The 11,872-nt window shown below is 42.3% G+C and overlaps 1 pseudogene; it reads left to right on the plus strand.

Moving 5' to 3' along the window:
• Positions 10,189-10,589, plus strand: RPL36P14 (ribosomal protein L36 pseudogene 14; annotated as a pseudogene).

The raw sequence follows: 11,872 nt of genomic DNA on the forward strand, positions 1-11,872 counted from the left end.
TCATGAGACCCCTGTGAAAGAGATGTTTATCGTCCTCATACCCACCTCAGAGAAGTAAAGGAAACTACCCAAGATCACAAAGCTTATCAGTGGCAAAGCCAGTGTTCAATGCCAGTCTTCCTGCTTTGAAAGTCTAGTTCCTTCACACTGTAGCATCCTAAACCACAGAAAAAAAGCAGCCTTAGCATCACTGGCCTCAGCCTGCTTGTCCTGCCTTGTAATTAGCCAGCTCTGTGATCCTAGGCTAGTCATTGTCCTCTTCATCTGCATCTCTTGACCCTTCCTTTCTTAAAATCCTCTCAGCCTATATCCTACCCATCACAAGTGTTACTTCTTCTTCCTCCTGCGTACGTTTCAAATTCGACCATTCCTCTCCATTTCTATCATCAAAACCCTAACAAGCCACCTTCTTCTCTCACTTAAACTTGTGCAGTTAATTCTTAACTCACCCCTGGTGTCCTTATACCCACTCTAACTGGCCTCCCACCCAAGATTTGCACTACAGCCAGATTGAAATTTTAAAACACAAGCTTATCATTGCTTCCTATTTATTCTCAGGATAAAGATCGAATCCTTAAGACAGCACACAAGGCCTTTGCCCCACTCCAGTTTCATTCTACCTCTCTCCTCACGGTTCCCTGATCTTCAGCCTTTCAGTTTCCAAATTCCCTCTCTCCTTATACCCTCTGCACATGTTCTTCCTCAGCCTGAAAGGTTCTTGCCTTCTGCTGTGGTTTGGTTGTTTGTCCCCTCCAAATCTCATGTTGATCCCCAATGTTGGGGGTGTGGCATAATGGGAGGTGTTTGGGTCACAGGGCCAGATCTCATAAATAATGTTCTCCCTGTGGATGGGGCAGGGTGGTGAATGAGTTATCACTACAATAGTCCCCAGGAGAACTGGTTGTTAAAAGGAGCGTGGCATCTCCCCCCTCTCTCTTGCTTTCTCTCTCTCCATGTGATCTGTACACACACCAGCTCCCCTTTGCCTTCCACCATGAGGGGAAGCAGCCTGAGGCCCTCATCAGATGCCTAGTCTTGACCCTTCCAGCCAGCAGAACCATGAGCTAAATAAACCACCTTTCTTTATAAATTACCCAGCCTCAGGTATTCCTTTATAGCAATACCAAATGGACTAAGACAACTCCCTTTGTCAACTCTTCAGCAATTCTTTACCCTTTCAGCCATCTCAGGCATGGCTTCCTTGAGGACACCTTCCCTAAGCCCCAGATCAGATAGGCTATATTAGACTTACTCATCATTCCAGTCTTGTTTTTCACCATAGCACTTATCAGTGTGTTGATAATGACATATTTCTGTGATTAGTTAATCAGTATCTGTCTGACTTCCTCCTAGGCTATAACCTCCATGACAGCAGAGTCCATGTCCACTTTTATCCCTCTTTGTCCCCAGCACATGATATGGGGCTTGGCAAAGAGTAAATGCATAATAAATATTTGTTAAATCAATGTTGGAAGACTATACATCCACTTCTTTATCTGAACGATGAGGGGACCTGACCATGTGATCTCTGAGTTTCCTCTAGCCCTTAGCCTTAACAGCCATCTCCTTAATACACTAAATCACATTTTCTGTTATCCCAGAAGACCTAGCCATACCAATAAGCAGATAAACTGTAGTTTAGGAGAAGGCAGTGCTTTGCCTTGCAATGGAAGCAGTCTCTCTAGAGGGTAACAGAACTGATCAAGCAACAGTGACTCAATCCTCTGCCAGGAGTACTGTAATAATAATTCCCATGTCAGGTGAATGACAATAAATGATCTCAACACCCCTCCCAATTCTTCAAGTCTGTGATTCTGTACCTGTGTAAAATAACAAAATCCAACTATAAATTCCAACCAGGTCATTAAATACTAAGACAATTTGTGCTCAAATGCATAAAATGCATATATACTGAGATTTTAATCCTAAAGGACATTGACACATTACATTTAATATATATTGAGCTACCTTGGGCACTTAGTAAAAATACAGATTCCTAGGCTCCAAATCTGGTAATTCTGATCAGTAATTCTGGTTACTTTTAACAAGAGATTTCAGGTGATTCCAATGAATTTAGAAAACTTTATTTATTTATTTATTTATTTATTTGAGATGGAGTCTTGCTCTGTCACCCAGGCTGGAGTGCAATGGCACGATCTAGGCTCACTGCAACCTCCGCCTCCCGAGTTCAAGCGATTCTCCTGCCTCAGCCTTCCAAGTAGCTGGGACTACAGGCACGCACTACCATGCCCTGGCTAGTTTTTTGTATTTTTAGTAGAGATGGGGTTTCACCATGTTAGCCCGGATGTTCTCGATCTCCCGACCTCGTGATCTGCCTGCCTCAGCCTCTCAAAGTGCTGGGATTACAGGTGTGAGCCACCACGCCCGGCCAGAAAGCTTTTGTATGAAGCAAAGAGCCTTGGACTTGGAGTTAGAAGACCTGAGTTCCAACTGGAGTCAATGAGTAAGTCACCACAGGATGCCAACAAGTCATGTGACTTTTCTAAGCCTCATAACTCTGGCATTATCTCAGAAAAGAGAAACACTACTTTTAAATGGCCTGATGTAGGGTTACATGGAAGCTGATGCTTAATGGTAGCATATGCTGCATTGATCCTAACCTCACTACCTCTGCAAAGGATTCTAAAGGTCTTGTCTCAAAAACCTACAATGAATCTATTTAATGTTTGGCCTCCTTCAGGGAATGGAGGCATATTTCGCTTCCCTCAAAAATGATGAGAATTTTGGCAATGATAAACTCAGCCACCTCAGTGACCAACTGTCAAAACAAGGTTTTGGGATTTCAAAAGCTTCTCCGCACAAATGAGCCTCTTAGAACAGTTGTGGGATTATGAATGATATCCATCTAAGGTAAAAACCTGCCCCTATTTTCCCCTCCTTTCACTCTTATTCTGTTCAAGATTCTACCACTTTTGGAAAATGCATTTAAGAAGCATTACTATTATTGTTTTCTGCTTCCATCCTGGAAATTTATAGATGCGATATATTTTGGGTGTTAGAAGGGAATTGGAAGTTAGCATTTTTCTTGAAAAGCCTAGACACTAGGAATGCAAACTCACAGTCTGGCCTAGTGTTCATTCATTCTCTAGAGCTTTCACTAACCTCCAGACACTTTGCTAGTTCTGCAGATGGAGAAGTAAATTCCACATGGTCCTTGCCTTCAAGAGGTTTATACTCTAGCATGGCTTCATTCACTGGAACTCTGTGGAATAACAGAAATATCTTGTGTCTGCTTTTTCCAACATGATAGTCACCGGCCATGGCTGGCTATTGAACATTGGGAATGTGGCTGAGAAACTGAATCTTTAATGTTAGTTAATATTTATATATTTATTTATTTACTATATTTTTTTAGATGGAGTTCCGCTCTTAATGCCCAGGCTGGAGTGCAGTGGTGCAATCTCGGCTCACCACAACCTCCGCCTCCTGGGTTCAAGTAATTCTCCTGCCTCAGCCTCCCTAGTAGCTGGGATTACAGGCATACACCACCACACCTGGCTAATTTTGTATTTTTAGTAGAGACAGGTTTCTCCATGTTGGTCAACCTGGTGATCTGCCCACCTCAGCCTCCCAAAGTGTTGGGATTACAGGCGTGAGCCACCAATAGCTACATATGGCTGATGGCTACCATGCAGCACAGTTCTACAATAAAAGGAAGAAGGAAAAGGAGGAGGAGGGGAAGGAAATGGAGAAGGAGGAAAGGAGGAGAAGGAGGAGGAGATAAGAAGGAAAGAGGATAGGGGGAGGAGGAGAAGAGGAGGAAGAGAAAGAGAAGCAGAAAGAGGAAAGAGAGGAAGAAGAAGAAGAGAAAGAATAGAGTATGGTGAGTATGATAGTAAGTGCATACACAATGAGCCATCAATTATCAATCGTGTGATTACTAACTTTTCATTGAAATGTTTGAGGGGCAGGGTGGAGGTGTTTAGAAAAAAACTTCAGAGTGAAGACTTTATTTGAAGGGTGAGAGGAGCTCACCAGTTGAAGAATGGGGAGGAGATTTTTGGGGAGGAGCCACAAGTTGTACAACCCCACAGCACCTGAAAAGTACACAGTAGGTTTTTAGCCTGGTGGTTTGGCTTGATTGAAGCACCAGATGCTTGGGAAGGAGGCAGAAAGAGGAGAGAGGCTTAATAAAGGAACAGGAGTGAGGCTGGGGCCAAATCATAAAGGGCCCAATGTATAGCTCTGAGGGATTTGGACTTTTGTCCATAGGCAAAACATTTCTCTCGGGTACATTCTAAGAGTTTTAAGTGGTGGTTGATATGCCTGTCGCTTGTTTGTTTTCCCAGGGATGGGAATGAAAGCTGGTGTTTCCATTGTCTTAAACTAACTTCCTGCTTCAGCTCCATGCATGTATTGCTCATTGCAAAACATTCCTGGTTTCTATTTTCACACAGCCTCAGAAAAACATCATATGAAAGTTAAGTTTAATTCAGTTGAAGTCTCCCTTTACTCAGTCCAAACAGCTACTTCAACCCAGTCATCCAGGTTAGGAGTGACCTTATTTTTCTGGTAGACACCAACACCAACTTGCCAGGAGGTACCAAAAAGGCTCCATCTGCTCAAAAATAAAGTACTGTTCCAGATCTTTGTGTAGAACTGAAGCAAATTTCTACATGGTTCAGTCAAAAACTGCGCTACTCTGGAATGACCTGGGAAAAGGATGGAGAGGAACAGTCAATGTTCCGTGATGCACGGAAGTGCTGCTGTCTCTTGGAAGGCACTTGATAATCACTGTTAAAGTCCCTTCCTTGTGGGCCAGCACTGTCACAATGACCACAAAAATCACCCTTCACTGAGCGTCTGTTCTAAGCCAAGACAGTGTGCTTAGCACTTTGCCTGTGCTATTCCATTTCATCCTTGCAACACTCTGTAAGGTAGGTATTTTATCCCTAGTTCACATGTAGATAAAGTGAGCTCAGAGATGCTGTATAGCATGTTGCTTCCCAGAGTCAATAGCTAGTAACTGACGGTGCCAAGCTCAAACCTAGAGGAAGCCACCTGAGAGTTACGCTACTGAGAGAGCACTGCCAAGGGACACTGGTGCAGCAATCAAGTCAGAAGGCCTTCCCATTTCCTCTGTCCCTGCCTGATGATGCCAACAAATCCCATGACACTTCAGTCTCTGTTACTTCACCTATAACATGGAGGTAGTTAGACCTTCGCTACAATCTCTGAAATGTACAGAAAAAGCTTTGAAATTTTACCTTAAGCAGGAGCTTATTCAGTTATCAAATGAACACGTATTGAGCACCTACAATTTTATAGAGCCCTCAGCTAGGAGCTAAGGATACAAAAGAAATCTTAAGATCTCAAGAAACATGCCATTTAGCAATTAAAAGTCAAAATGTTTACAACATGCCCCTCACCCAGACAGAAATAATTTCCATTTACAAGGAATTCTGTAAGGGAGAGAGGGAGTAACTCATCTGGGTTTCCCACCCCAGCATTACAATCTTTAGGGTTTTACGCAGAGGAGCATATCAAGTACAAAAACCTGTCTTGAGAACTCTCCACTTAACTTCCTTGTTAAGTTAACCACACTCTTCACTCCTGTAAAACATATGGAAGAGGACACCCAAAGCAAACAGAAGGAGTGGCCAGCAGAACCACCAGCAGCTAGCAGTCAGTCTGTTACCAGCTTATAAGATTCATCTGCAATGGTACCCAAATATGTTCATGCCCATTGTACTTATGCTACAATGACATGATTTAAATATTATGGAATCCAGTGAAATGAATGCAAAAACCGTTGCTGCTACAAAATTAATTTGAATACTTAGAAAAAACTCAGTAAGGATGAATCACAATGTAGATGCTTTGGAAATAGGTATGAGATGACTGTAAATAATTGAAAGTCTGAAAAAATATGAAAGTCTACTAAGATACTGTGCCCAAGTTTCTTCATAGATGTTTTGAAGTTCTTATTCCACTTTAAAGAAAGCAGAACTTGGAACTGTAGATTGCACATCATGGCTGCGGTTTATGAAAGAAGAATGACTACAGTCAGTGAATCATACCCAAAGAAAAGCTTTGGCCTAACATCAAAAGATTGGCAAAGTCATAGATAAGTATGTGCTCTACATTAAGATAAATGTTGATGGTATGTGTGTATCCCTTTTTCCCCACTTTAACCAACTTTCCAACAATCCAACCAACTATTGGTCCCAATCTGACCTGATAAGAGGGCTTCCTTCCACTGCATTATAAGAGCAGAGTTATTCTGTATTTTTTTACATTATAATTTTAGGGAGATGGTAAGATACTTGTTGAGCATGGCCAAGCCCACGCTCTGGAATGAGCTACATTTGGTTACTCTTTGATGGGACAAGCCAAGCACTCCCACTAAGGGAGCCTTCACCCACACTGGCTGCAGGGACAGTCTCTATGCACAGCAGGTCCAGATGCTCTTTAGTGTCTTAATCTGACTGTGCCTCTCATGTGATTCAATCTGAGTTGGGATGTGTGCTTTTTATTGTTAGGACTTTCATTTCTAGGTCTCCTCTTGGCTTATACTTTTGAGCAAATGATTGATTCTTCATCAATTGATTTCTATGGAGATGTCACTTCCCTCCAACTTGATGTGAAGAATCCTGGCAGCAAGTCTTGCTCTAGTGATCCCTAATGAGCAATGACCTGTTTCTAACTGGCAAATATTAAACTATTTCATAGCTTTTCATGTCCATGTACAATGAAAGACTAGTTACTGGTTACCTACTGAGCAATGAAAGATTGCTAAATTTGGTATTAATATTTTTTAAAATAGCACATTGTTAAAATGTACTGAATTCATCAATTCAGTGGTTACCCAAAAAATCTGGCTATTTCTACAAGACACAAAGCTCTTACTATGTGTATATAATCGCAGATGATTGGCATTCTAGCAAATTTTAGGGAAAAAAATGCATTGCTCGCAGAGCTTCGTCATTGGGATCTTAGGTTGACTATGGTCTTAGTTGCCTATGCTCTTGTTTTAATTAACAGACCCATAGAAGTACTGTTAGGCTCTATTTCTGCTGATTGATTCTTGAGAAACCGACTACATTGTTGCCATTAGGACTATTATCAAAAGGTTTTTACTGTTGGTATCCAACACTTTTGAGAACCACTGCTCTGCTTGTTAATCAGAATGGTTGGGTGAAGCAACAGCTCTGTCTTACTGTCCTGAGAATGTTACATTATTCACAAACCCTTTATCAGCTTTCGTCTCTCTGCCCTGATCAGTGTGCTCTCTGCTTCAGATGGTATGTTGGAACTAAATCCCCTTTGGGCTGAAATAGTCACTTCCTACTCAGAATCTACATTGAAACAAATTCCCATTTACATCTTTGTGATATTTCCTGGGTCTCACCACTAAAATCTTCCCAGGGGCTATTGCACTTAATCACATCATGCCCAATATGGCATGATCCATGCATGCATCAACAAAAATTGCACTGCCTTGCAAAATATTCGAATTAGGATTAATTTTTCCTTCTTTCTGGAGACGGATATTCTTATTTAGACAAAAACTCAAAAACACTTTCCATGCCTCTGGGCTCCCTCCATCCAGTCCATGTCCACTCAACTACCAGATGTGATCATTTCACATTACTACTATGAATTAAAAAGTAGAAAAGGAGATAACTAATGAATCGAGTAACCTTTCTTCTATGTCTACCCATTGCAAATAGATTAAAATTTAAACATCTTTAGTCCAGTATGCATGCCCTCCATAGTGGTTAACCCAACCAAGTTTTCTATTTTCTCCCCACCCTCTTTCTTATAACCTTCATCTCAATAAAGTTGAACTGTTCCTGGCACCCGATTCTAAGATGTCTTGCCTCACTTACGGTGATCTACCTGCCTGACAGCCTTTTCCCAGGCTCTGTGTGAGTTCACATCCTACCACATCTTCCAAGTGCAAAAGCTACTTTCTATTTAAAAAAAAAAAAAAAAAAAAAAAAAACAGAACTTTCCCAACTTACCCTAAGGAGGAAGTGGTCTCCCCATCCCGGAACCCCACTTAGGCATTCCCTGACTACTCCCTTAAACTCTGCATTTTCAACCTTGCATCTTGTTCATTGCATTTGTCTTCTGGACTGTAAGCTTCTTGGTGGCTGGTCTGTGTGGTTTTCATCTTCCTATTTTCCTGCTCTTGTACCCTTCACTGGGCCTTGCAAGAAGTAGTTAATAAATGAAAAAATGAACGTATATGTGAATGAATAAATGAATGGATCTGACATACACATAACCACATGGTTCTCTCCTCCTATAGCTTCATTTCTGGACCCTTCTCCTAGATGAACTGGCCTTGCTAAGAGTACCCCAGTCAGGGCTTACCAGGTTAGCAGGGAGTCTTTTGCTTGCTTTTGAGGCAGAAAAGTGCAGCCTTTGTTGCAGGGCAGAAATATAACATCACAAAAAAAAAGCACCAAGGAAATTCCTTCCACTTCCACCTGCGGATTAAGAAAGACTTAGGATCCGATCTGGTGAAAAAGAAAAGATGTAGGATTTTAAATTGGCCTCAGGCCCTCACACTTACAAAAAGTGAGCATATAATTTGTATTCCAAACTTTTGAGAGTGAAATTAGAGTTTATTAATGATTACTCTGGGACAATAGGTGTGACCTAGGACTGTCATGGGCTAAAAGGATGATATGTGATCTGAAATGAGCTATACTTGGTTACTCTGTCTATGATAGGACAAGCCCAGCCCATGGATATGTTTTATCATCTGTAACATGGGGATAGTGATAACTAACCCCAGAGATTTTCCATAGGATGAAATATGACCATGAAAGTGAAGCATCCAGTGCTTGCAAACAAATGGTATTTAATAACTGATAGCTCCCTCCCTTTACTAAGATAAGGTTCTTAGTAAAGCACCTTATCTTACATATCACTTCTTATATTCATTGGCCTAGGTAATCCTTTCAATGAATCTTCAAAGTAACCAAAGTACCCTGGGGCTGGGGCCAGGCACAGTGGTTCACGCCTGCAATTTCAGCACTTTGGGAAGCCAAGGTTGGTGGATCACTTAAGGCCAGGAGTTCGAGACCAGCCTGGCCAACATGGTAAAACCCTGTCTCTACTAAAAAATAGAAAAAATAGCCAGATGTGGTGGTGCACGACTGGAATCCCAGCTACTCAGGAGGCTGAGGCACGAGAATCACTTGAACCTGGGAGGCAGAGGTTGCAGAGAGCCAAGATTGTGCCACTGCACTCCAGCCTGGGTGACAGAGTGAGACTCTAGCTAAAAAAAAAAAAAAAAAAAAAAGGTAACCAATGGGGAAATTATCATCTCCTTTTACTAAGAAGCACACTAACACCCAGAGAGGTTCAATAAGGCTCCACAGATAAAATCTGATGGAGCTAGGACTTAAACCCAGGCACATCTGTCTCCAAACTGAACCACTTTCTAATGCAACACCCAGGCTTTATGAGCTTCTACAGAAGGGACTTTAAGTCTGGCTGGACATCTTAAATCATGTGCTTAAATCATGGCACAGCAGAGCAGAGAGCTCAGATGAGGGAAACTGGGAGTACACATGGCAGTACACACTCTTCTCAGTACCAGAGAAGGCAAAGATTCTAGCCTAGACACGCCAGCTCCATCAGCCTCACTTTTCCCAGGAGGAGAGTTTCTTGGATCTATCATGGTCTCACACTCCACCTCAGAGTGGTGGGTACATTTCAGCAGAGGATGGGAAGACAAGCAGAATTCACCATAGTAATTTAGATTAATTAGGAGCCCAAGATCAATCAGGGAGTGGTAATGATCTGGGGGCAGTTTTCTGGTAGGTTTAACAAGCATGTACAAACACCAGTTATGTGTACATATCCATAAGCAGCCTGGCTGAACGTCAACAGCCTGCTTCTGTTACCAAATGAGACAAAACAATTAGCAAAGGCAGGCACTATTCCTTCTGTTCATGCTTCAGTTCCGAATATCAGTGGTCATTTGTCTGGTTCACACATTATTCATTTACCTTTGTTTTTATGTGAAAGTATTAGTTGATCTGGACTTCCCTATGAGCAATGCAAAGCTGACTAAAGTTCAAACCATGTTATCAATGAACATTTCCTACTTCACAGAGAATATGAAACACTTTGAACATTAGTGCCTCCTCCTCTGAACTTAAATATAACAGCGGTAGATATCCCAGAGTTCAGCGCGGCACCAGCCCTTCCGCCACGGCCGCCTCTGGAGAGCAGCAACCATGGCTCTAGGCTACCCTATGGCCATGGGCCTCTTCAAGGGCCACAAGGTGACCAAGAACGTGAGCAAACCCAGGCACAGCAGCCGCCGCAGGCGTCTGACCAAACACACCAAGTTCGTGTGGGACATGATTCGGGAGGTGTGTGGCTTTGCCCCGTACAAGCGGCGTGCCATGGAGCTACTGAAGGTCTCCAAGGACAAACAGGCCCTCAAATTTATCAAGAAAAGGGTGGGGATGCACATCCGCGCCAAGAGGAAGCAGGAGGAGCTGAGCAACGTACTGGCCGCCATGAGGAAAGCTGCTGCCAAGAAAGACTGAGCCCCCTTCCCCTGCCCTCTCCCTGAAATAAAGAATAGCTTGACAGAAAGAAAAAAAAATTATATATATATAAAACAGCACCCATTCCTTTTGATCTCCTTCCCTCACATGTCCTTCCTCACTTCCAGAGCTAGCTTGTCACCCTATGGACCTGATCCTTTCCCATCTGTCTTTTTCCAGGACTGTGTTCCATCAGCCATGCCCTCTCATTCCTGTCATCAATTACTTCCACTCTGGCTTCTTCTCCTCAGCCTGCAAACAAGCTCAAGTATTGGAAATCCTTTAAAAAAAAAAAAGAAAATAAATAAAAACCTTATGTTCCCCTTCCAGTTTTTCCCTTGCAAAATGTATCGAAATTACATTGAAACGTATTGAAAAAGTAATCTGCACCTGTTGTCTTGACTGCCTCAATTCCCTTTAGCCCTCAGCCCATCACAATACAAATCCCCTAAGCCTCCATTTAAACATCACACTGGGGTCACCAGTAGCTGATAATGAAAACTAATACCTTACTAGTGATCATGAGTAAACTTGTCAAACAACACACTGGCCTACTTCTTTCCCTCCTTCCCCCAAGCATCAAGCCAAAAACATGGAGGTCATCCTCAGGGCTTTCTTCTCCTCATCCCCCTACTGCCGATCAATTACTAAATCTTCTATGAAAAAAGCCCTAGAAGTAAAATTAAGACCTCAGGTCCTAAGCTTGGCCTTGCTACCAACTTGCTTTATGACTGTAGATTAGCCAATGCCACATCTAAGTCTCAGAACCCTCATCTGGATGGATAATTAAGAGTAGTGGAACTAGACCCTACATTTGGGTATGATCCACCTAAGTCACTTGTGTACCAGGTACCACTTGTCTATTGAGTGGACAAGCATTGTTTACCTTAAATTTTAATCTCATTTTCCTCCAGACATTGTCCCTCTCACTTCTCCCTACAATTCTTTTTCATCATTGATAGCACAGCTGAATCCATTCATCATGCTCTCTACAACCCCACTTCTGAATATTCCCAAGAACTGAGGTTTCCATCTTATAAAAACCTGTTTTCATTAACAGTTCAATTACCAATGTATTACTGAGTCCTTGTTCTGCTGTGGACGAGGAGCAGTTTGTCAAAAGAGAACAAAATGCAAAGGAAGTGAGAGTTGATGACACCCAATAATGAAGAAAGCAAACAACTTTAGAAACTACATTCAATAGAGAACAGGCACCAAGCTGCAGCTGGGCCAAGGTCAAGGTGCTGGCCACTCATCTCCTTACCTAGCTGGAAAGAAGAGAAATGGACAACAAGAAACCAGTTCCATTGAGATAAGCTTCAGTCTGTCAT

This window comes from Homo sapiens, chromosome 9 (assembly GCF_000001405.40).
Source record: "Homo sapiens chromosome 9, GRCh38.p14 Primary Assembly".
Classification (NCBI taxonomy): Eukaryota; Metazoa; Chordata; class Mammalia; order Primates; family Hominidae; genus Homo; species Homo sapiens.